Genomic DNA, 26819 nt, shown 5'->3' with positions numbered 1-26819 from the left:
TCAATTCCAGTCCAGTGCAAAGAAGTCGGGTCGGGGGAATTCTCTCCTTCAGAGCCACCTAGTCAGGGCAACCAAAGTTACAGAGAAAAGAAATGACCATGACCAGGCATTTGTGTAAAGTCTCGACCACTTGGTTTCAACCCCCGAAGCAAGATGTTGGTCTTTGAGGTGTTGCAGGCACCAGCATGGTGTACCTGTGTGTTTTCCCATTTCCACTGGTGATGCGGTCTCATTATTTACCCAGGAACTGCCATTCTGGACAAGCCAATGCCCAGGAACTTGCTGCTGCTTAGCGAGCATCTCCCTCGAATCCTTGACTCCCTGGCTGGTTGACAGGTTGATAGCTATTGATCAGCTGTTGATAAGGTGCAGCCAGCCCTACCCCTGTTCTTCTCGAGGCACCCACAGGCCACTGGCTCCACAAACATCATTCCACTAGGGGCACGAAGATAGAAGCGTAAGCATATTAATTCAGTTTTGCAAACAAAATTGTGGTCATGCCTCCGATATGAAGGTTCTTCATCTACCTTCAGGGCCAAAGATCCATACCAGCTGTCCTTATGTGGTGTGTAATGCCAACAGCTCCTGATCAGGCTAAGCCTGATAATCAGTCAGACTGCTACCCAGCAGACGCCAGCCTTGTTTCTCCCTAAATGTTTTGGAGATGGGGAGGATGGAAGATGCAAAAAAGATAGGAATAAGTAGGAAGAGGGGGAGCAGATTTGTGGCTGTACAAGTGTGTTATTCCATCTGCACTGCTATAAAGGAATACCTGAGGCTGGGTAATTTATAAAGAAAATAGGTTTTTTGGCTCACGGTTCTGCAGGCTGCACAAGCATAGCACCAGCATCTGTTTGGCTTCTGGTGATGCCTCAGGAAGCTTACAATCATGGCAGAAGGTAAAGGGGAAGCAGGCATATCGCATAGTGAGAGAGGGAGCAAGAGAGAGAGGAGGAGGGTCCAAGCTCTTTTAAGCAACCAGCTCTTGCATGAACTGGGTGAGAACTCCCTTATTACCGTGAGGACAGCACCAAGCCATTCACGAAGCATCTGCCTCCACGAGCCAATGTCTCCTACTAGGCTCCATCTCCAACATCGGAGGTCACATTTCAACATGAGATTTGGAGGGGACAAAACATCCAAACCATATCCAACAAGTCAATCCCAAAGTTTTTTCATCTGTTCAAATGCACAAGAGATTTCAAAGGCAAAATTGAGGGGGAAATGCACGCTAAACTGTCAGACTCTGAATGGTTCATAGCAAAGACCTGGACCACCTACCTCCTGCTAATATAGAGTGGGACACAGGGAAGGCCTACATTGTAATTTCACTTGTCATGTACTATCTGGAAGACCTTGGGCGATTTGTAAAATATTTCTGAGACTTAATTTGTTGTTCTGCAATACTGGACTCATAAGACCTTCCTCATAGTGTTCTTGCGGGACTCATATGCACGGTACCCAGCCTAGGATCTAGCCTGCAGGATGTGCTAGGTTGGTGGCTATTCTTATCACCTCTCCCGTACAGCACCAAGGTCCACAAAGGGGTCTTCCCACTCCCGCTGGTGCAGCCAACCCATCCAATACCACCAGCCCTTGGATTTAGGAGAATCACAGTTTTCTCCTCTAATATCTCTGTCCATAGTCTCAAAATTACATTCTGTAAGTTTACTTCTGTACTTGCTTCTCATAAACTCCACAGGCAAAGTGTTCTGGGACCAAACGGATCGTAGGAATTTGGCCTGGAGAACAAAAGCCCATCAGCTCACTACACTGAACATAAGGCGGCTTGACTTCTCGATCAATCAGCCTAATGGCAGGGGACAATGTCTCCACTGGTGTTTCCTGAGTTTGCATGGAAGCCAGGAACTGGGTGTGCGGTGAGCTGGGGAGGGCGAGCATGGCAGTGAGACATGCATCTGCCCTTGGGTCCAGCCCACAGTCTTTTCATGGGTTCCGAAAGCCCATGGCCATGATATTGACCCCACAGCCAATGCTTCACTTCAGAGATCTGTACAGACACCGCACTTCTCACCTCCTGCACCTGCTCAGAGCCCTCCAGGGGCTCAACAGCCCACCCTACCAGGTCTAAGCTCCTCTGCTGGGCTCCAAAGTGCGGTCATCATCTGGCCCATTCTCACCTGTCCCACTTGATCTCCCCAGCCCCCCGGCACGTGCCCTCACTCCTGGTGTTGCCCCCTGTGCCTGCAGTCATGCTGGCTTCCTTCCCGGAATCCCCTGCCTCTGGCCCCCATGCAAGCCAACCCTGATCCCCTTCCAGGCCCAGTTCCTGCCCTGCTTCCCCCATGGGGCCCACAAAGGCAGCAACTTAGTGCTGTGTCAAAAGTACCAGTCAGTAGCTGGGCAAGGTAGCTCATGCCTGTCATCCCAGCACTTTCGGAGGCCAAGGCAGGAGGATCAAGGCTTGATAGCCCATGAGTTCAAGGCTGCAGTGAGCAGGGATCGTGCCACCGCACATGCCTGTGCAACACAGCAACACAGCAAGACCCTGTCTCTAAAAAGAGAAAAAAACCACTGGTCAGACAGTCCTGGGTTCAAGCCACATCTCTGAGCTACTGTGGACAATTTACCTAATCTTTCAGTCCTTGGTTGACTATTTGGAAAAATGTCAGTAAAAACAGTACCTATTTCATGAACTGGATGGGGGATTAGACAAGATTTCGCTGGTAAATAATCACTTAGCGGCTGGGCGCGGTGGCTCACGCTTGTAATCCCTACACTTTGGGAGGCCGAAGAGGGTAGATCACCTGAGGTCAGGAGTTTGAGACCAGCCTGGCCAACATGGCAAAACCTCGTCTCTACTAAAAATACAAAAATTAGCTGGTGTGGTAAATGCCATGCCTGTAATCCCAGCTACTTGGGAGGCTGAGGCAGGAGAATCTCTTGAACCTCAGAGGCGGAGGTTGCAATTGGGCCGAGATCGCAGCACTGCACTCCATCCTGGGTGACAGAGCAAGATTCCGCCTCAAATAATAATAATGTTAGTAATAACAACTTAGCAAAGTGCTTAGCACACGCTTAAGCCTATACAGGAAATCCTATTTTTAGCTTTATTGGAGTTTCTAGACTGGTTTTAGTTGTCTATCTTGACTCTTAAACCTTCAAAAATAGTAGCTATTATTTAAATTATTATTCCCTAACCATTCCAACCTTCTATTGCAAATTCCTGGGGGCACCTCCAGTCTGTTTCACATCACTGTTACTCATTATGGTTTTTTCATATCTTAGTTTTGTCTAATTGTAAGCTAACCCCCTTTGTTCAGAAAGAGAGAGGGAGGGAGGTGGGAGGAGATTCATTTCAATTGGATAGTTACCGTTGCTAGGAACACAGTGGTTGTAAAAGTGAGACTCTCTGAGATTTCATTTATTTATCTAGAAATCGGGAAAACAGCACATGCCCTATTTACTCATAACATTACTGAATGGAAATAAAATAAAGTCATATATGCACGAGCATTTTATAACTGCAATACGCTTCACATGCAGAAGGAATCTGTTTCTCTTATTTGTGAGCATTCTGAAAGTAATCTCCATGGAGTTCCCTTGGAAAATGACTCTGAGCACTTTCCGCTCAATGAGGCCTGTGATTGTTATAGTTTATTTCTTAATTCCCAATTGGACCCCTCTGGCTCCTATGGCAATGGCTGCCCAGCAGGGCCAATGACACCCAGCATGAAAGCCCCGAGTAGTGTAGAGGCAAAAGGTGGGAAGGCCCTGCCTGGTGAGAAGAGCTAACGATGCCCTTCCAGAGGCCCCAGTGCTGCCAACACTGCTCTATCATCCCAGACTCAATTGTCATGAGGTGGCAATGACAATCGCTGCAAATGCTTAAGATTATATGGCATCAACAAGCTCGTTCTGCCTGGGGCTCTTTGATCTATCATTCAATCTCATGTGTAGGATGATAAGACTTCTCCTTCCCTACACTTTCTCATGTGTAAGGAAAGACTTCTGGAAATCCCACAAAATCAGAGAGTCAGAGAACCAAACTTGGGCAAACCTTCAGCAAGTGTTGCCAAGTCAACCATGTCCCAAGTCCTGCAAGACATGGAGTCTAAGAACACAAAGATGGATGCGCCACAGTCCTTCCTCTTAGGCACAGCGGAGAAGGCAGACGTGGTTATGCTTGCATGGTAGGAACTGCAACACCACCGACCACAAAGAAGGCAGGCACAGAGGTACTGAGGCAAACAAGGAGCTTCTGGTAGCTAACAGGCGGTAGGTGGAGGGAAAGGACTCTGGAAAACTGTACAGCCTTGCATGCCATGCTAAGGGATCCAAACACTGTCTCTGCTTGATGACCAATGTCTCTTCTTCCTTCCTAACTAGAAAGAATGTTTCTCTTTGCTGCTGTTTACTTTTATGCAGGCAAAAACCTGAGAACGAGAAGTAAACAATTATGTCACCCCTAAAGTGTGGGAACCCTAGAAAGAAGGCTTCTGTCAACCTTGCATGAGTTCTATGTGGGGTCAGGGAAGCTACGGAACGAGGCGCCGGCCGGCACAGGTTTGGGGACTGAGGACACTCTCCCCATGTCCAGCATGAGAGCGCGCTCAGGAAGCAACTTCTCCCATAATATAGGGGTGTTCCTAGTCTTAAAACTGCACCATCTCTAGAGGCCGGGATGGCTCACTACTTCCCTTCTGGCTTTCAAATGCCTGTTGGTACTTACATCCTTCTCGATCTTGTTCCAAAATAACATATCCTAAAAATAACTAAAGAATTAAGCTTTTCCCTAATCATCTATCATGACACTGAGAGCTCTGCACCTTCATCGGGATTGCGGCAGGGGTGCAGTGGGTTAGCATGGTCTGAAAACATCTCCAGGGGATTCGGATGTGCCTAGGGTAAGAATCATTTGCAGAGGGTGGATTTGAATTGTGGCATGCAGACTTGGATCACACTTCAGACACGTCTTCTCATGACCTGCCCACGAGCGTGTGTGACAGCACGTCCCAGAACAAAACGCTGGCGCCTTTTCTCTCCATGGCAACATTGGCACTTATCTGCTCAGATGAATATCCCCAAGCTGACTCATCTGGAAGGAGGACAAATCCACATGGCCAGCCAGGAGCCGACCCACAGGACCTCTTCAGTGAATGCCATGGGGCATCTTTGACAAAGCAGGGCTTCCTCCTTGTCGTTCACTGTGACAGCCTGATATTCCAGGTATGTAACGTGGCCTGGAGGTGGCAAGTACAGGAGAGCAAAGTGGTTGGCCCGAGGGAGAGGTGTTTTACAATTCATCAAAAGGTGGCTCCTCAAGGCGGTGACCAGGACTTTGCTCCCCGTACTCACAGTTCAAGGGATATGGCTGCTGCTCTGCCAGTAATTATTGCTGGATGAATAAATGATTAAATGACAACCAACATTACATTAAAGGACAAGTAGATTTCATAGTTTGTGTGAAATCTGTTTCCTTGGAAGCCTCAGGCACTGGGTCATTCTCTGCCTAACTTGCTATTTCTTCACTGGCCGCCCGTATGCTATGCCACCATGTATAACAAGGATTGCCCTTTGGAGGGACCACTCTTCTCACAGGAAGCAGTACTCTGGTAGTGGGAGAAGCATGGAATAAAGAGGCTAAGGAAGGAATCTAAGTTCACATCCTTCCTTTGCCACTTATTGGTTATGTGATCTTGAGCAAGTCATTTCATTTCTTTGAACATAATGGCTTCCAAATCCATAAAACAAAGGAACTAATGAACCAGGCTTGAGGGAATGAAAATGACATGTGGAAGCATTTTGCAGCTGCAAAACACGAGACAAATGTTGGCTATTATTAAACCAGAAAGCAAAAATGATGGCAAAACAAAAGTTTATAAAGGCAACACTACTACTGAAGATTCAGCATCTAGTTTCTTCTTCAATATGAACAGAACATGCATGCCAAGTGTCCATCAAGGATTTGATGTTAGAACCTTGACTTGTGGTTAGTTATGAACTCATGGTCTCATAACCACATAGGAGAATGAATGAATGATTGTTCCTCTTTTATCTGCTATAAGTTATATAATAGTGCTTTGAAACTTAGAAAACTGATGAATAATTCTCATATGTATTTTTGCTTCTGTGACTGTTTTTAAAGAGTATTTTTTGGATTAACTGGCCCTAATTAAGTTAAATAAATTCTTATGCTATCAATGATGCACAAATAGAATGACTATTAATGAACATTACCTATCCCGTATTAATAATTATTTTAACCTATGCCTCATTTTTAAGTTTTCATCCTAAAATCAAATTTTAATATATTATAAATTTCTATCCTCCTTTTATATTACCTTTTCTTAATCTCTGATGGGAGTTTTAATGCATGAAGCACCACAAGTCAAAAGACAACTAAAGGTCAAAAGATGACAAAGTCTTCACTGGGTGTGACAGTCAGTAACTTACTAAAATCAGTCTCTGTAGATGGCATTTTGTTTGCTCTAATTATATTTCCTTTTGAAATTTCAGTGTTTGATTTCGTTGGGTACTTTGTCTGCAATTAAAGCACTCAACCATTAGGGGGGCAGTAGTGCCAGGATCATGCTATGTTCAAATAAGCTGTCTAGAATGGATGAATAGATTATTTCTTAGCTGAGGAGACAGATAATTTCTTCTTCGTTTTTTTTTTTTTTAAAGAACTCTATGAAAGGAGGCATAATTCAACAGTATTTAAAAGGTCACTTTAGTTTTTAATACTTAATATAATATTGAACAGTTTTGAAACTTAATACTTCATCCTTAAATACTCAGTCACTACTTAATACAACTGTTTTTCTCCAAAAACTGAATGTAGAGTTCATCTCGAACTCATTGTGAATCCTGAGCTTGGATTCTAACACTTATTCTTTTAGCTTTTGGACTTCAGGCCTATTGTTTCAACACACTTGCGGGTGTTGGTCCCTGGTTATCACAGCTGTGCCCTAGAACCACAAGAATTTCATTTTCTTGCTAAGCTCTTGGAGATCAGTAGGGGAGAAGCCTTTGCTTGGTTTTCTGGCTGTTAGATTAGCAAAAGGCCCTTTGGAATTTACTGACCCGTCTCCCAGGCAGAAGGGAAAAGTGACAAGACAGGTACAAGCATGTGCGGGCAGCAAACACTATGAAACTTAATGGAAGAAGTGACATTCACTCTGTCCCTATGTGGTTCCCTTAGTAATGCCTTTAACTCAGGATCAGATACAAACTGTTTTACAACTGCTTTGTTTTAATAAAAGAGCTTTTATCTTTCATTGTGGAACAGTGCATCTTGAAAACAGCATTTGGCCAGAGGGCTAGGCACGGTTTTAAACTTGCATCTAGAGATTCCTTCACTAGAGGCAACCAGGACTGGGACCACCCCACTCCGGTGTTGGCCATGAGTCGCCTCCCGGCCCCTCTGCTGCCTATGGCCAGCAACCTCGGCCCCAGGGCTTCCGCAGATCAACACTCACAGCCCCTGGAAGGAGTCACACTTTCATCTTCTGATTTTGCAAAGGAAGACATCTTTTAGCAAATCAAATGATAGTGCTGCACTCCATCTTATCTGCACATCTTATTCGTGTTTTGTTTCATTTTAAAATAAATTTGGATTCTCCTGATCAGATTTACAAGGCTGGGCAGGGGGAGGCCTTAAAATGACTCACTCTGTAAAAATGCGTTAAAAGTATTTTAAGCTTCAGAAATATATCATCACAGTATGGAATGAACCAAATTTGTAGTCAGAGTGGATGTGTGAAGGTACACTTGTCCCACGATCTGGATCAGCGAGGTACCCTTTCTTTCCATGGCTTCATGACTCATGGTCATTCTGCTGTGCCTGGCTCTGCTGTGGCAGGACACTCATTCCTTCGCGGGGCAGGGAATTCTACCGTCCGGCAGCTCCACTTGCTTGGAAACCCTTCCTGATGGGCTAGCATTGGCCCCATTGCCATCTTCACCCACAAGTCCCCTCCTGTCACCTGGAGTAAGTGAGCACACCCTCTCTGCCACGGACAAACGAGCAGAGTCTTAAAAGCAGCTTTCCCCCCTCACTTGGGCTTCTCAGGCAAACTAGAACGCCTTCCTCATGAGGCCTGCCTCATCCCAGTTACCCTCTTCCAGATGTGCTGTGGGTGAAGGCACTTCAGACTAGCTCCAGTGCTGAGCACAACACACCAGTGGGGTCCAGCCAGCGCCGGAGACAGAGCAATGGGATGCCCGCGATCGGAGCCCTTGCAAGTTCCTATCTGCCTCTGCTACTCACTCGCAGTGTGACATGGGGAAAGTCAACACCTCTGTGCCTTGGTTGGCTCATCACTTCACAGGGCCATTGCTAATAAACTGAATTAAGTGATCTGAGATAAGACCTACAGTGCATGCCTTGTACAGTGACTAGCACACGAGGATGTTCTCCATAACCTGCTAATACGGAAGCCCTCCTTATCCATGAGGGATATGTTCCAAGACCCCCGGTGGATGCTCAAAACCTCAGAGGATATGGGACCCTATATATACTATATTTTTTCGTATACATACCTACCTGTTAAAGTTTTATTTATAAATTAGGCACAGTAAGAGATTATCGCAACACTAATAAAGCAGAAGAATTATCACAATATATTGTAATAAAAGTTATGTGACTGTGGTCTCTCTTTCTGTCTCAAAATATCTTATTGTTCTTACTCACCCATCTTGTGATCTGTCGATCTGATCACCAAGATGTCTTTAAGTGACTAACAGATAGGCAGTGTAGACAGCGTGGATCCACTAGATAAAGGGATGAGTCAGGTCTCAGGACAGATGGAGTGGGACAGTGTGTGATTTCATCAAGCTGCTCAGAACGGCATGCAATTTAAAATGTTCGCATTGTTTATTTCTGGAATTTTCCATTCAATATTTTTGGGCTGCAGTTACCTGACCACAGGTAACTGAAACCACAGAAAGCGAAACGGCGGATAAGGGGAGACTACTTAATTATAAGGCCCAACCGGAACACAACAATATCACAAGACCTCAGGTCAACCCAAGTGGCTTTCACAGAGGCAACAGCGTGGTCTGGCAGCCTTGGGTCTGGTGGTCAGCACAACCAGTTAAGTCCTACGTCATCTCAGCAATTTACTGATTCACTCATGATATTAGCTGAGCACATACTAATGGTGCTCAGAATGAAAAAGATCAGTTAAGACAGCCGCCGACCACGAGGAGTCTAGCAGGATGGACAGACGTCCCCAGCAACGAAGCCTGGCCAGTGTAGCAGGTACTGTTACAGGTACAAGCAGGGGATGCGGGAGCAGGGATGGTGCTGGGGGTGAGAGAACGCTTCCAAAGGGAGATGCCACTCTCTGGCCAAAAACCAAACCAGACCAAAAGATCACCACAGCTCCCATCGCTGACCCTCACATCAAGACCCAGCTGAGCAGGCAGCATGCCTTGACTCCGGAATGTCTGTCAGGGTAATGCTTGCCATTGTCCCCACTGCCGGCTCAAAGAAAATTCCAGAGAGCCTGCACAAGGCCTGGCTCAGGGCCACGCAGTGCCCTGCCCAGCCTGGGGCCCTCGCATCTTCCGAGCTCACACGGGCTTGCCTGTGGCACAGAGTTTCAAACTGTAGGCAGGTGTCTTTGGTATAAATTCAGAGCCCTCTGCTTCCTCTGCCCACTCATAACTTCACACTTTTCCCCAAGCTGCCTTTGCCTGGAACAGCTTCCCTAAACGAAACATGAAGCCTCTTCTCTTTCTCTCTTTCAAAAAATCAGTCTCCTCCGAGCCCATCTGCTCTAGAAAGCCGTCCAGATAAAATGGCTGCTCTTCCCTTTCGACAGGCCACAAGACCAGTAAACATCACAGGCCCCCAGGTGTCCCCAGTCCTGCAGATGGACATCACTTCCTGCCTATCTGTCCTGAAGGAGCAGGGGAATGAGGCAGGCAAGGCTGCTCAGCTTGGCACTAAGGACTGAAGGGGAATGAAGGTCGTCCTGCAGCCCCATTGACTAGTCAAGGCAAGTATGCAGAGGTAGGAAGGGATGGAGAGCAGAACGAGATGCCTGGAGCCAGGAGTCCTGGGTTCACAGCATCGTTCCTCCCTTACCCAGCATGTGACCTTGGCCAGGGTGTTCTACCTCCGAGTGCCTTCACTTTCTCACCTGAGCACCAGGAGGCCTGATGAGAGGAGGCAAAGACAAATCTCCCTTCCCTATAGGCTGGGATTAGGAGGTGATCCCTTCTCCCTGAAACCGGGACAACTGCTCTTCCATCTAGAGTCAGGCAAGTAAAAAGTTAATGTTCTCAGTCTATAAGTAGTTCCTGCTGTTGCAGATAAAATTAAATGGCATGGCTATTTTGGGGGAGAATCAGGTAAAAATGCTGAAAAATAAACTCTCCATCAAATGCTAGTCCCTTCCCCCAACAACGTTCTTTTTTTATACCCATTTGGTATTTGCTTTTAATTCTGGCTGATTGTCAATTTTAAAACCTGATGCATAGAGTGGCTTGCTATTCCGGAGGCGTTATTTTAAGATGAAACAATGTAAATTCTGACTTTGGATGGCAGATGGCTGGCAGTTCACTGTTTGGCAAACCAACTGGTATGGTATGTTGGAAGTTCAGAGCAGCAGGAATGCGGCTCCATTGGAAACCACCACAGATGCTCGGAGGGAGCGGGGGAGGGGTACAAGCTGGTCAGGAAATTAAGAACAGTACTCTGAGCTCAGAGGGGAAAAAAGATGATAATTAGCTGAAAGTTTGCTTCTTCCAGTCTCGACTTTTTTTTTTTTTTTTTTTTTTGGTTGCTTCACAGAAAACCAGGAAGGCCCTTAGAAGTCAGCACAGAGAAAAGCTTCTAATTTTGCTTCCTATCTGTCTGTTTGGCAAAGCTCAGCCTCCATGAGATATTCAAAGGTGGGGACAAAGCAGATAAAGAGAATATCAAATGTGTTATATAAGCGAGAGGTGCAAATGGCAGTGTTAAATAAGGAGCCTAACTCCCAGCTGATTTTTAAGATCAATTAATGAATGATATTTTGGGGAGGAAGGATTCACAGTTTAGGGAAAGACCCACGCACATGAAATTGACAACTCCAATGTTTCTACATCCGGGGATTTCCCAAAACAAAGTCGGAGGGTGGTAATATCTACTGTGCATTTGGATTACAGGCCCAAGACAGTACACGTGATATCTGGCACGCCCATCTGCCGAGGGAATGAACTGTGCCCAAATTCACCCAGCAGTTAAGGTCTGTTCAAAGTCAATGAAGATACACAATGCTTTTCAAGAAGGTCACTCACACTGCAAACCACAAATCGTCAGCCTCCTGTCAAGTGGAATGTAAAAACAACTCATTAGAACAGGAACTCTTGATATTTTTTGGTGTATGAGAATTAGGCTATTTTTCATTTCCTCCAAATTCTCACCATGGCTGGAAGGCAAGTGGGGAAGGTTTTGCTATTGGTCCCACAATTCTCTTCCTTGGGCACTGAAAGTGAACAGGAAGATAAAATGGCCAAGTGTGATGGAGATTCGCCAAGGATGATTTCGAGACACAACAGCATCTCCCAATCTACTCTTGCAGTCAGGGTGCTGTGACACCTTTGACGCCCCAGGAGCCTGTGTTGATGATTCTGCAAAACAGCAACAATTCTATCTGGGTGTTCATGGATGACAGTCTAACCAAATCCAAAGCACCACAGTCCGAAATGACTGAATAACTCATACGGGCAGGGACAATTCAGTTACTATATTGCAATCAGGTGTTCTGGCCAGAACAAGCAGCTAATTCCAATTCTAATTCATAGCATAATTGCTCATCTGGACCTTGAGTAATGAGCAAAGGGTCTCTAGGTTTTTAAATAATCGTTTAAGTGTGTGTGGACCGTTTTCTCTGGCAGAGAACAGGGTAAGGTCTAGAGAAAGGAAACAGTTCTCTCTGACCCCTACTCCCACCCTCAGTTAGGTAAATACATGTGTTCTTCTTTTGTTTTTTGTTTTGTTGTTTTGTTGTTACAGGGTCTTACTTTGTAGCCCAGGCTGGACTGCAGTGGTGCCATCAAGCTCACTGCAGCCTCAACCTCCCAGACTCAAGTCATCCTCCCACCTCAGCCTCCTGAGTAGCTGGGACTACAGGTGGGTGCGCACCACAACAACCAGCTAGTGTGTGTGTGTGTGTGTGTGTGTGTGTGTGTGTGTGTGTGGTGACTGCATCTTGCTTGGTTGCCCAGGTTGGTCTCAAACTCCTGGGTTCAAGTGATCCACCCACCCCTGTGTGTTCTTCCTTTCAGTAAACATTTAGGACCTGTGAGGCACAGTTCTCAGCACTGGGGGCCCTGAAGGTTACGCAGATGTAGATCCTGCCCTAAAGAGCTTTACAGGCTAAGGGGACTACTAAGGTGAGAATATACATCGTCATGCTACAAGACAGGCACGGTAGGGCCTGGAGGGAAGATATGGATCACGTGCTAAGGGAACTCCCACTTCCTAGCTCCTCCAAGAGGTGCTGTGTCTGCGCAGGTAAATTTGGACGGGAGGTCCCCACCCAGTCTGACGGGTTCCTTGCACATGCCAGGTTGGCCCTGTGAGTCACGGAAGGAATAGTGTTTCCAGCCATTCCTTTTATCTCATGGGCCGGAAAAGCACGCCTGACATGGCCATATTCCCTCCCTGGCCAGTTGCCAAAGAACTTGGTTCAAAGGCCTGAGAAGGAGCTGGATCAGGATCGCTCTCCCAGCTGGAAAATGAACTAGCAACTGCAGGGCTTCAAGTACCCAAGGACCTGAAGACAAAGGAACCTACGGAGAAAGGCTGAAAGTGCTAGAAGAGTGGACATTTCTGGGGGGAAAATGTTTTGCTCACCAACCACCAAATGGGAACCACACCAGTGACTGAGGCTGGCGAGGGTCACTGAATACATTTCTTATGAGTGTTCTTAACACCAAATGAATCAAAAAAATTGTTCCCCAAGATGCTGCAAAAACAGCACGTCCTTCTGTTGTTTCACAAATGACATTTAAGCAGTTGAGTGTATTAGGGAGGGAGGCAGGGGCAGGAACAAGAGCAGGAGAGCTGGGGCCAGGAGGGAAGGAGGAAGTCAGGGGCAGCTCCCGGTGGCGCGGGCAGTTGCGTTTGAAAACCGACAAAGAGGAAAAAGGCAGGGACTAACGGCCAGGAAGGAAATCAGGACCAGCAGGCAGCTCGAGCTTGATTTTTCAGCCTCCAGAGCAACAATTTGCAAAAGGGTCCTCATCTGAGACCTCCTTTCTCTTGGGAGAAATTGGTGGGGGAGCAGGGACAACGGGTCTCCCTGTGGACCCTGGACTCTAGGGGGACTGCTTGGAGAGAAAACAGTGGAGGCCTAGGAAACTCAGAAAGGGGATGGAGCAAAGAGATGTCTCAGTGGCCTCCCCTCCCATGCCCAGTTCCACCACCCACAGCCTTAAATATACAAGCCCACTTTTTTTTTTTTTTTTTTTTTGCTTATGGTATGACTTTGGGTGGGAATTTCTGATTTAGTGGCTGTAGTTAAATTTGTATCAAGAAACGTGTCCTCAACAATGCAGGAGGAGAAAGGGAGGACACTTGCTCATGGGGGCAGGGACAGGAGCAAGCACTAATCACAAAATATTTCTCTTTGGCAAGAGGTCCTGTTTTCATTGACAGGAGTGCTCCTAAGTAAGGACGATATTTCCTGAGCATCTGCACTGGGGCAGGCACTAGGCATGCTGTATAAAGTATGACATTAATACTGCTGCAACTCAGTGGTGCAGAGATTTTTATATCCATTTTACAAGGAGGAAAACTGAGGCTCAGACAAGCCAACGAACTTGCCAAAGTCTCACAGCAAGTGAGGGCAAAGTTGGAATGGGAACCCGGGTCTCTCTCACTCCAGGATTCTTCGTCTGCTTCCTTGGGGCCAAAAGACGAAAACAAAATGAAACAACGACAAGAGAGAGGAGGGAAGGAAGCCTCGCAGATCATGAGAAGGAAACGATTTCCCTTTCCAGGAAATGAGGGGGAAGACAACGGTAAGGAAGAAAAAGTTCAAAACTAAGAAAACCCACAAAACTTTAAAGGATGACAGTACGATGTCAAAAAGTTGAAATTTTAAAACAAATAAGTTAGGAAGACATTTTTTACATTACAAAAGTCATATATATTTATTAAGTGATTTTCTTAAGAGTTACTTTAAGTAGGTGCCTCCTTACATTTAAATAAAAGTCTTTCATTAGAAGTGCTTTCTGTGTTTTGCTTTGTTGTGTTGTGTTTTTGGGAGACAGGAGCTCCTGAGAAGGCAAGCATCTTAAGAGGCCTCCAATGTCTCAAGTATGCTCTCCCAGTAATGGCTTGTGTTTACATCCCGAGTTTGCAGCCTTCAAGAATCCTGGTAAAATGCAAGGACTGGCTTGCACCCCTAAAACCCAGGACGTATGAGTCTTATAGTACTGGGAGAATGCAAAGGGAAGTTACCTATTTCAAAATTTTGCCCAGGGCCACAACCACGTAAAAGTGAGTTACAGCCAAAAATAATGAAAGAAAAGACTTAGAACCCTAAGTCCCAAGCACAAGTCTCCCAAGGAAGAGTTTAATAAACTTCGGAGACAGACCCTAGAGCCTTTTGGTGGAGGCAGATGTAGGCATTATTAATATGACTCATAACTGCTAAGGCAGTCACTGAGCTTGGCTAAATCTTCCCCAACACACTGCATTTCAAAAGGCCTGTTATCTTGGGAAAGGTGGCATTAAGTGTCTCTGGTAATTATGTCTCCAAGAAACAATACTCCTCTCCTCATTAAATGTTTCAGTGGGTGGCCCTGCTGAAGGCAGGAACTTAACCCTGGAGCTGCAGAGCCTGAGAGGGCATGGAAACGGGCCACCAAGGAGTTGTCCAACTCTATCAGCCAAGGTGAGGCTGTTTATCGGGTTGAAAACTGCTTTAATTAGGGACCTAGGCAAAGAAGCAGACAAGTGACTGCTGTATAAATCCCTTTAAGAGATAAAGGTACTGGGAGTCACAGGCTTGCCCAAGTATGTTCCACTCTGGTCTTGCCTTTTTGGAGTGGCAGGCATGAACTCCAAAGCCAGTTCCACATTTGAAACTCATTATCTCCATACACAGGCAGCAGAGAGCCACTCTCCCCCACTAGAGGGTGGACTCCTCCCAGATCTGACCCAGACAGTACATCCCTGTCGCCCAAATGAATATCTTCCAAATAAACTGCAAAAAGGATGTAATACCAAAAGCCCAGAATTGTGCCTGCTTTGGGGCTGGAGTTCAAACCCAGAGTTAGACAGTTTCGTGTATGCTACAAACATTTATCGAATCCATGTTGCACACAGAACAATATGTGAAGTGCCGTCAGACGTTCGGCAAGGGGCCCTGTCTCCCATCAGCTTAAAATCTTGCTGGGGGGCTCTGGGATGATGGCAGCTACAATGAGATCCTTCCAATGTCTCCCAGAAAAATCACACAGATGCACTAAATGCATAAGCAACAACTCACAGACAACATTTACAACAAAACTAGGTGACAAGGTATCCCCAAGAACTCCAAATTACAAGTCCATGAATGAAACCACCAACAACCACAAGGCATGTTTTTTGTTTGTTTTTTGTTCTTTTTTGAGGAAGGGGGCATCTCTGCTAGAGAAAACAGAGGGAAGCAATAGGGCATCTGGTGGACCTGGGCACAAAACACCAAAATATCCAACAAGCATTCCCTGGAAGACACAGACAGCCATTTTGACAACAGTGGCTAACACTGAGAGCAGCTTGGCTCACTCAAGCAGCTTGGCTCACTCCAGCAGCAGCAGCACACGCAAGGGCCTGTGTTACGAGGCCTGGGTGAAGAGGCTGGAGCTGCACTGTCCCCAGGGACTCTCAATGAACATGTCCAGGGCCTCACTGCTGGGAGTGGAATCAAAATTGAGCAGATAGAAATAACAGAGATAAAGGAAGGAGGTTGGCCAGGTAAAAGTGGAGGAGGGGAACAGAAACAGGACATCTCAGAGGGCCAGCTGCACAGTTTTAACACTGTGGGATGCAACAGAAGATGGAACAGTGCTGTAAGGTTAGAAAGTCCACATGACCTACTCCTCCTCCCTCAAACTCAAGACCACTGTTCACGAGAAAAGGCAAACTTTGCAAAAGGGCCTCTGTCTGAGACCGTCCTCCATCTGAGACCATCCTCCATCTGAGATCGTCCTCCATCTGAGACCATCCTCCATCTGAGACCATCCTCCTCTTGGGGGACAAAAGCTTGGTGGCAGCAGTGGAAGGAGTGAAAAGAAGGAGCCTCTCTGTGGCAGTAAATACTCTGGTCAAATTTCATACAAAGCTGAAGAAGGATTAGAAAGAAAACGAAGAGGAGGAGAAGGAGGAAGAGGAGGAGGTGGAGAAGGAGAGGAAAATCCCTACAGATAATGAATGCATGCCAAAAAGATGGACCAAAAAACTATAAAATATGCAGCATATTACTTTAAAATGAACTAAAGGCCTTTAAAAAGTGATATAAGACCTGAAATAATATTAAAACATAATGTCAGAGATGAAAACTAAACTAGAAGGAACATAAAAACCAGTATATAAAACAAAAGCTGTGTAAAGGAAATGGGAGGTGCAAAAGGTATCTTTTTTTAAAATCAAGAAGAAAAGAAAAAAGGTAAGAAGGAACTCAGAGAAAGAGACAAATACTGAGGATGGGCAAAGAAGATCCAATCAATGGAGAAGAGGAGTCTGCTCCTGATAAAGAAAAGCAAGTCAAGGGGACAGAACACTGTTAAAGTACATAACTGAAGACAACTTCCCTGAAATTAAAAGAAATCAAAACTACACGTTGAAAAAGCACATCACATGCTTCACACTATCAATCCATGGACAATTTTTCCATAGACCTGGGGTGGGGATCGGGATGGGGGGATAAGGGAATGTTTTTGGGATCAAACTGTTTCACTTCAGATCATCAGGCGTCAGTTATATTCTCATAAGGAGTGTACAACCTAGATCCCTCACACGTGCAGTTCACAATAGGGTTCCTGCTCCTATAAGAATCTAATGCTGGTGGCTCACGCCTGTAATCCCAGCACTTTGGGAGGCCGAGGCGGGCGGATCACGAGGTCAGGAGATCGAGACCATCCCGGCTAAAACGGTGAAACCCCGTCTCTACTAAAAATACAAAAAATTAGCCGGGCGTAGTGGCGGGCGCCTGTAGTCCCAGCTACTTGGGAGGCTGAGGCAGGAGAATGGCGTGAACCCGGGAGGCGGAGCTTGCAGTGAGCCGAGATCCCGCCACTGCACTCCAGCCTGGGCGACAGAGCGAGACTCCGTCTCAAAAAAAAAAAAAAAAAAAAAAAAAAAAAAAAAAAAAAAAAAAAAGAATCTAATGCTGCCGCTGATCTGACAGGAGGCGGAGCTGAGGTGGTAATGCCAGCTCACCTCCTTCTGTGCAACCAGGTTCCTAACAGGCCATAGGCCAGAACCGGGGGTTGGGGACCCCTAGGTTATATGATCTGATAATGCAAATATGACATAGCCACAAAAATTGGGGGGAAACAAGAGAATAGAGGGATTAAAAAATGTTTAACTGTTTTCAGTAATCATCACTGATGGTATAGCGCTCTTATTATTGTTATTGGGACTATTGTAATAATTACGGGATATTCTAATTCTGTATCTTTAAGAACCAAGATTTGCCAGGAGTGGTGGCTCACATCGCCAGGCATGGTGGCTCACACCTGCAATCCCAGCACTTTGGGAGGCCAAGGTGGACAGATCACCCGGGGGCAGGAATTTGAGACCAGCCTGGCCAACATGGTGAAACCCCGTCTCCACTAATGATAATAATACAAAAATTAGCTGGGCATGGTGGTGCACACCTGTAATCCCAGCTACTCAGGAGACTGAGGCAAGAGAATTGCTTGGACCCAGGAAGCAGAGGTTGCAGTGAGCCAAGATAGCACCACTGCACTCTAGCCTGGACAACAAGAGTAAAACTCCATTTCAAAAAAAAGTACCAAGATTCTTGGTTTGGAAGAAAGGAGATACAAATGCAATATAAAAGTAGTTGAGTGAAAACTATACAGTTCTGAATTTGAGTCTGAAATATCAGTTTGAACTCACAGTATTTGATAACACCCCTCCCTCCCCAACATACGCACTACACATTGTATGGTGTGTCCACTGAAAAAACTAGAAATAATGACCAAACCAATAGCAATAAGCATCCATGCTGCCCCAGCTGGTCTTGAAATACTTTTTTCTGATTAAAAGAAAGCAGATTTCTTGGAGAAATGGTGGAATCCAGGTCTGGGGCAGGAAATAGACAACGTGAGCCTATACCAGATGGTAAAGAAGATAGGAAAGCTCCTGAAGTCATGGTAAAAGGACCCCAGAGCCAATGTGAAGGAGCTCCGGCTGGTCAAAGATAGGAAAATAAGAGTTTCAATAAAGATAGTAATTGCAATGGACTGAAACCCATCAAATGTGTGTAAATCCATGAGTTCATAATATTATTGAAAACGACCTAATTGGTTCAGTCTTAAGGAAGACAGGAAACCAAGTCAATGTCTGAAAAGTGGGTCGAGAGAAAGCATTAAGCATTTATTCTGACTTTCCTGTAAGACCTGTGCCACTGAGTACCCAAATGGAAAATGACATGGAAGCTCCTTCTTAGAAAATTATCCCAATTAATAAATGAAAACAAATTCATAGAGTTGAAATAATACGATTTTGCAACTCTCAGTAAAGCAATGGATTTGTGCCTTAAGCATCATTGGCTGTTAACGTGAAAAGGAGCAAAAACCACATGGTGTAGGTTTGCCGATGAAAAGCATCACTACTTTGTTAAAGAGATAGACTTGGGTCTGGTCCACACCTCTGGATGCAGCTGCCAATGTTCAGGAAATACAAAAGACAGAGGAACTGCTGAAGCATGCCAGCTTATGGGGATCTGCAGATTAAAAACCCACAGGAAAAAAGAAGGAAGAGAGGGCAAGCTGCGTGTTTTAAAGGAGACTTCAAAGACACATATATTTTTTTTTTTTTTTTTTTTTAATGGGCAAGGCTCAAAAACAGCAGCAAGGAACGTGCACGCTGTGTTGATCTGTTCGGGCTGCCGTAACAACATACCATGGACTGGGTGGCTTATGAACAACACGAATTTATTTCTCACAGTTCTGGAGGCTAGGAAGTCCAGAATCAAGGTAGATTCTATGTCTGGTGAGGGACTGCCTCCTTTCTTACAGTGTCCTCACACAGCAGAATGGGCCAAGGGTCTCTTTACAACGGCACTCATCCTATTTATCAGGGCTCCACTCTCACAACCAAATCACCTTTCAAAGGTCATCATCATCACCTACTAATCCCATCACCTTGTGGGTGAAAATTTCAACAAAGGAATTTGAGTGGGACATAGCATTCAGTCCACAGCACACACCTGGGTGACAAATCCGTAAAGAAATGCATGGAAGTGGCTGTTACAAGAATTGGGAAGGGTGAGGAGCTGTAAAGCTGTAACTGGGGTGGGGCAGATGGAGGAGAGGCTCTTAGGGGGACTAGCAAAGTTATGCAGTAACAAGGTTGTTTGGCTTACATAAAATCACAAAGCCACACATTTGCTTAATATTGCTTTCTGTATCTGTCTTTTTTTACAACAAAAAGAAGAAAACAAACTTTTTTCAAGGTCTGCCTTTCCTGTAAGATCTGTGCCACTGAGTAACCATACGGAAAACAACATAGAATGTTCTAAGCTTGATCTAGAGAAAAGACAAGAAAGAAGGCTGCCAACTACCGTTACCAGCAGTGAATGTCCAGACCCCTGGTGCTGTGGCTGCCCAACCCTCACAGCACAGACCACTTAGTCCCAGCTCCCCAGATACATGAAGGGCCTTCAGGTCGATGGCACAGCAGTCTGGGCTGCTGGTTCCACTCTGACTGTGGTACCACGTAGGACCTGGGCTGCTACTGAATTCCTTGTGAACAGACCCCTTCCTCAATCCTAGCTCTAGTACTGAATACCAGTTTCCTATGGCTCAGACTCCAGGAGCCCGGTGCCTATGGAACAAAGTCACTCCTTATCTCTAGACCTCCAAGGAATCTCCAAGTCTCCACTCTAAACCTCAGTCCCCTGAGGGCTGGGCCTCCCTGATATGGCATATCTTCCTGGCTAGACCCCTGGCCACCACCTGCATCTGCAGACCCTCACCCAGGACCACCACCAATCCTCTGCTTTCCAAGGGCACCCAGGAAAGCTACTAGGATCCCAGCAGCCAGGACATTCAGAAGCTACCACTTTAAAAGAGCCACCCTGACTGCCTGACCCCACAGAGGGACAGGCCTTCCCCTGCCATGTATGTACTGAAGAAATGCATCCATCAGGTGAGCCCACTCCTCCAACCTCACTGCAGTTCTTTTCCTTTGACACAGCATGCCACCCAAGCCAGGTTTTCTGTTCCTTACACGTGTCTCAGAAATCTCCAGAATTTTGAAATGCCCTCCGACACATCGTTCTTTTTGATGACTTCATTTGCTTTGGTTTGGAAAGTGACAATCAAAGAAGTGATGGCCTACTCGGCAAATGTCATATCTATCGGCGATAAAGCTTCCATCAAAAATCCCGAGTCTCTGACAATGACTTTCTCCTATTTCCTCTCCATTCATCCACAGCTGTCCTCTCTTTGCAAACATGAAACAATACTCAGCACTTCCATGCAAACTGCCATGGCCTCTGGGCCAGGAACTGGGCTGGGCAGGAAGAGGCGGCACTGGAAAGGCTGGGGGCATCGTAGTGTTGTAGGCTGATAAAGGAGGTGCACGGAACCCGGCCCTGACACAGTAAAGAGTTATGGGCTACCACAGGTTAAAAGTATGCTAAATGCCAGTGAAGAAAATACATTATGCTACTGACACAAATCAAAAGCCATAAAGTTTGCACATGCATATATGTAGCCATTCCTCTTCTGGGAACTTATTCTAGGGAACTAACCATGGATGCAAGAAAAGATTCAGCTGTAAGTATGCTCATCACGGCAGCATTTATGAGCAGGAAATGTTGGAAGCAACCCAAATGTCAAACAACACTAAAGCCGTTAAATAAGCTATGGTATATCCATTCAATGAGACTACATAGTGATAACAATAAAATAACATTTTATTATATAACTGGTATATATATATATATATATATATATATACACACACACACACACATATTACATAACTGGTATGAAAAGATATTCATGAAATGAATATGCAGCGAAAATGCAGGTTACAAATATTTTCACTGATAATACCTTCACCGATGCATTTGTAATCATTCTAATCTGATTTTACTGACCGATATTTCACGAATATACTGATTCTATTGTTTAAGGTATTTATTCCCATAGAGAAAGGAATAGAAGCATACATACCAAAATGTTTTAAAATATGATTAGCAAAGGTACTATTATTGTCTTACCTGTTTTCCACTATAAACATAAATTGCATAATCAAAAAGTAAAACAAAGTTCTGTTCCTCCAGAAAGCTCCTTAGAAACTCACCTGATTCTCTCGCTTACTCATTCTTGCTGTTGTGTCCTCGCATTTGTGTGTTCAGGGTGTGTGCTACCCTTGAATCTTGCCAACAATGTGGATTCCATCAATTTAGAGATCCAGGCTGTAGCAGATGCATTGTAATTCAACTAATGGCTTAGTAAGACCTTCAGTGAGCTAACTTGTCTACATACTGGACAGTGGGCTTTCCTAAGTGCAAGTAAACCTTCATTCAGGGCTTACAAACAAAAAGCAAATGATAAACTTAAACTCTAATGCTAACCAAAGATTCAAAAATAAAGTGCTATTTCATGATTACCATATTAGCAAACACTGAAAACAGTGAAGGAGCTGGGGCTGGTAAGGTTATAATAAGATACACTGCAATGCAGGGCACTAAATAACATGCACTTTTAAAAGTTAACCCACTGGAAAAAGAAAAGTTCATTTTAGCTCTCTTGACAACACTGCTTTCCTTCCATAATAAGGTCCTTTGTATCCTTAAAGCCCTTTCCTTCATCTTTTTGTCTTCATATTTTCTGAAATGTAAAGTTTCCTACATGACACAAGACATGGTAAAATGTCTTGTTATTTCTCCCTCTATGTTTATTACTGTCTTGTGTGAGATTCAAAAGAATTTTCCAAGTGGAACCCTGTCCTCTGCTGGGTATCTCAGGACGTAGACAGGTGGCAGTGGGCAGGTACAGGGACAGACAAGGAGAGTCCCTATACTCATCTTCCCTCCGTCTGCAGCCCAGTCTGTGTTCTCTTCTTCCAGTGAACATGCTTGGGTACCTAAAGGAAAAGGCATAGCTAGAAAGACGGTACAGAGGCTACCCAGAAAATTGCATCTCGTTACAGAAACGTCAGGTGTCGTGCTCTGCAGGGGACCAACTGCTAACACAGATACACGGGCCTCCGGGCCTCCGGTACCAAATACAGGACTCACGGATGCCGAAGTGGGAGGAACCTCCAAGGAGACTCCCAGACCCTCCCAGGTCCCTCCTCCGTACACGCCACGGACGGCCCTGGTGGTCTTCAGTACCAGATCAGCGTAGCAATTTCTTTCATGTATATATATTTTGGTGAGTGCGCTAAACAGAAAGCTAGCTGCTGCTGAGTGGCTTTTTATTGGCAAGACTGCAAGAAGCACTGTCTCCTCAAGAAATTGGTTATTTGCAGAAGGCAGTTCTCCCAAGAATGTTCTGCAACATGTCAACTACCTTGAGCATTGCTTTGCCTCACAATTCTTTGTCTCACAGTGAGAATGTGTGTGTGTGCACACGCCTGTCTGTGGCTCAGGCCTGTGGTTACAGAAAAATGCAGAGAAAGGGACTGGAATGCTCTCTCCACCTCTCCCCCTACCCAAACGAAGATGGTATCAGGCAAGATGACTTCAACCACAGAGACACACCTCAAAAACAGTTCAGAGCACACCGCAAAGACAGTTCAGATGGGCAATGGAGAGATTGCAAGTGGGCTCATCAGCTGGGCAGCACGGGATGCTCTGATATGTTGCAAGACAGAGCCGATTTTTTAAAAGAAAAATATAGCCAGGGCCTCTTTCTCCCCCGGTTGTTGTTGACTCTCCAAAACACTGGCTCTGGCACGCGTTCTGATCCCTGGAGTTTGATGCACGTTTGATTCACAGACGGCAGCGTGTCTGCACCAGATGGCCTCGAGTTAATGAACACAAACTCATCACTTTTGCTCACCAGGGAAATGTGCAGCTCAATCTGATTTGTACTCTACAACTAAAAATATTTGAGTATTTTCAGGGAGCATTTTACCGAGACAAAATGGCACTTCAGGAAAGCGTTAAAAGAACAGAGACTAACCAGCAAATTGCAGCTGCAATCTTCTCCACACTGATAAGCTGGCTCCTCGGATCATTCTTTCACCAACATAAAAGTAACACCCGATATGCTGCACAGGGACGATGGCTTCATTCTGCCCTCCCTGCCTCCTCTTCAACTCTGCTGCCCTGCCCCAAGCTGAACTTGTAGTCCCAAAGCACAGTGGAGAACTCTTTCCAAACACTAGATTTTCCCCTTCGCATACCAGCAAAAACATTTCTCATAGGGTACACATACACACATACATACACAGTCTTTTCTATATTATTGTAATGTCTTCATATCTATATGTTTTTATATATGAGAATTTAAGGATTCAGGAAAAATTCACTACACGAACTGAACCCTACAACATCTCCTTCTCGTCCAGCTATGACACAACTCTGTTCACGACGTGTTCCCCTGCTCATCGGCACCAGCACACAAAATAGCTGATGCCCAATGATCAATCAGGAGCTAGGAAGCTATTTCATCCAGCTCATTTCTCTCTTCTCCAAACTCCCATATTTTCTGCTGTTTTATATAGAAATCTTAGTGATTCGACTAAGGAACATTAAAGTCATAACTTTCTAAGTCAGTGCGATCCTCATCGCAGTCAACAACCACACAGCTGGGTTCTCTTCTCATTAAATGTGGCCGTCGGACAGCCAGGGTCCAGAGAAGCACCTCATAGCCTTAAAACCTGCGCCTCTTCTGGGAGTTTATTAGGAAAAGCAGTCTGGGTTCATCCAGACCTGCTGTATCCGAATCTGCATTTTACCAAGATCCCCAGGTGACTTCGGTGAACATGAAAGTTTGAGAAGTACTGCCTTCTATTCATCTCACTGTGGATAACCATCTTTGAATCCACACCACAAGTCTTCTTACAGGTGGCACTGTCTAAATGAGGAAGTAGTTTAATCATCTCCCATCCTGCCCTACAAAGATATTTTATAAGTACCAGACGTTCACAGAAACCTTTCACTTTTTACAGAGATAATCTATGCAAATATAAGTCACTTTCGGCCGGGCACAGTGGCTCACGCCTATAATCCCAGCACTTTGGGAGGCTGAAGCGGGTGGATCATGAGGTCAAGAGACCGAGACCATCCTGGTCAACATGGTGAAACCCCATCTCTACCAAAAATACAAAAATTAGCTAGGCGTGGTGGCGCATGCCTGTGGTCCCAGATGCCTGGGAGGCTGGAGCAGGAGAATCGCTTGAACCCAAGAGGCAGAGGTTGCAGTGAGCCAAGATCACGCCACTGCATTCCAGCCCGGCAACAGAGCGAGACTCCGTCTAAAAAAAAAAAAAAAAAAAAAAAAAAAAGTCTCCTTCAGAGCAAAAACAACCATCATTCATTACATGATGTTTTTGGGAGGGAAAGAGATGAATTTTCACTCGAATGGATGAGCGTGGAGACAAGGTGTCACCACCGAGGAACAAGCTTCCACTGAAGCATCTCAGGTTGCACTTGGCAGGACGTCGTCTGACTCACAGCATTCTGCTGCATAGGCAGCTTAAACGAGGTTCTCTTTCCAGTCAATTCTGGGGGAGCAGCTGCAGAGAATTCATGGGGAGTAAGAGTTCTGGAGGGTGGTTTAAAAACACACTCTTTGTCACCTTAAGAAATGCCACAGGCAGGGCAGGCAGTAGGAAGCCCTCTGGCGGCCTTGGACTTGCCACTTCCCCTCCCTGACAGCTGACTAGGCAGAGGGCTGGGACAGCCTGAAGCGACCCTGGGAACTGGAAGAGGGAAGGCGCAATGCTGTGAAGGGGGAGGCGCGAGGCCTCGGGGGTAAGTCGGCTGGGGGCTCGGTCTGCTCCGTGCTGCCACCATCAAGGGTTGCCGGCCTTGGCAAGGAGCCACGGTGCCCAGGCCAGAGATACAGGGCCAACCAGCTATGAGCCCACTCAGCCTGAAGCCCGGCAAAGCTGACTCTGCAAATTTGAGAGCTATTTTCTGGTTCCAATTCAAACATTACGGCTGCTGACCAGTGAGTTCCAATTCGGTGAGACATCGATGGTCGTCCTGGACTCACTTAACTCTAAAATCCATCTTAATAGTAGATTCACTGGATGTCAGAGTAGGAAGGGCTTTATAGGGCCTTTTCATCCACAGTGTCAGATCTAAATGCCTTCGGAAGCCAGCAAGAACCGTCAATGAGCGAAGGCAGAAGCATCCGGCCGGCGCTGTCCAGTCCCGCACTCTAACTGCTGGCTGCATGCAGCGGCCGAAGACTTGGAACATGGCTAGTGCAAGCTGTGAAGCGCTGTGAGTATAAAACAGAAAGTTTCTCAAAGATGCAGTAACTGCGGGGATGGACGGTGGGGACCAGAGCTATCTGCAAAGCAGGTGTCTTTGTGAGAAGCATCAGAATTCAAACTTTAAAGAAAGAAACGAAGACTGCAGACCAAATTCCACTCGTAGGTCTCCAGATTGTGGCTAATGATTTCACACAAGAACAGGAAGTGCCCCAAATGGCCCAGCTGGAGAATGGAAAGTTTCAAGTACAATCCGAGGTCTCTCAACTCAGAAGAGTCCATCATTTCTACTCAGGGAGGCCTGTTTAACCAAGCCACAAGCTTCAGCGGTAGCTGGAAGGCAAACTGTAACCTTCAGCGAGGGTTCACCTCTCTGGAATGTGTGTCTGTAACAAAAGGGGGTGACAGGGGAAGGCCCCTCAATGCCCTTGGGCTCCAACATGCTAGCAGCAGTGAGCCTCACAGACAGAACTCAGGAGTGGCCGTTCACAGACATCAAGGACACAGGACTAGAGGGGCCAAAACAGCAACGGGGAGATGGCCGTTTTCTTAGACCTAAAAGAGCCTCAGCTTGTGTTAGTGACATTTCATTAAATAAATATTTCTTGCTTTCCAATCGAGGAGCGCCAGGCCCCGTACTAGGCACAGAGGGGACGAAGGCCACAAAAGCAACTCAGACAGGGTCTTCCTCATCATTGAGGCATGAGCCAGGGGAGGCTCCCAGAGGGGAACAGAGACCTGTGCTCAAGGGACGTTCAAGGTCATGAGTGCACGTTAGCAAATGTGCAAGATGCCATGCGGAAGCAGAGGAGAAAAGCAATACCAAAGGGAAGTGGGGTGGCCTCACAGAAGAGTCAGGGTTTTCATTAAACCCTGAAGAATAAACAAAAAAGGAAAAGATATTCTAGGCAAAGGCAACGGTACGTGTGCAGGCCGAGGATGATAAAACCACAGAGAATGGGGAAGAGCACGGCGGAGCAGAAACCCAGTTCACTGCATTGGAAGCACAGATTGCCATTAAAACTGTTTGAAATGGTTGGTTTGCATCTATGACAGCAAAGGTGAATCCTCCAGCAGAGTCAATGTTGATGCTACCCAGAGCAATTTCTAAATATAAACTTCAACAATTTAAACAATAAATGTATTCTGTCTTATTTGTAATTGTTTTAATTTATGATTATCATGTATAATTTGCATTATCTAATCATGTTTTAGAATGAATAGATGTATCGCA

General features: G+C 45.7%; 1 protein-coding gene across 8 annotated transcripts in view, besides 1 other annotated feature; it reads right to left on the bottom strand.

Annotated features, from left to right (window-relative positions):
* Positions 1-26819, bottom strand: part of MSRA (methionine sulfoxide reductase A) — a 374600-nt gene that overhangs the window by 52997 nt on the left and 294784 nt on the right. For 2 of the 8 annotated variants that reach the window (XM_011543823.3, XM_017013451.3), the window contains exon 6: positions 21084-22279. The exons of the other annotated variants lie outside the window; for them this stretch is intronic. In XM_011543823.3, the coding sequence (XP_011542125.1) occupies positions 22217-22279 (63 nt within the window). In that variant the 3' untranslated portion in view covers positions 21084-22216. Of the gene's footprint in view, positions 1-21083; positions 22280-26819 lie in introns of those variants that run through there. 8 annotated transcript variants of the gene reach the window in all.
* Positions 19172-19375: a silencer, noted in NCBI's record as "fragment chr8:10214030-10214233 (GRCh37/hg19 assembly coordinates)". NCBI's record gives its function as "represses an EF-1alpha promoter that drives an FKBP-Casp9 reporter gene in an ReSE screen in K562 erythroleukemia cells {active_cell/tissue: K562}" and the evidence as "EXISTENCE:reporter gene assay evidence [ECO:0000049][PMID:32094911]".

Source organism: Homo sapiens, chromosome 8 (genome assembly GCF_000001405.40).
Source record: "Homo sapiens chromosome 8, GRCh38.p14 Primary Assembly".
NCBI lineage: Eukaryota > Metazoa > Chordata > Mammalia > Primates > Hominidae > Homo > Homo sapiens.
This window is presented reverse-complemented; position numbering and strand designations above follow the sequence as displayed.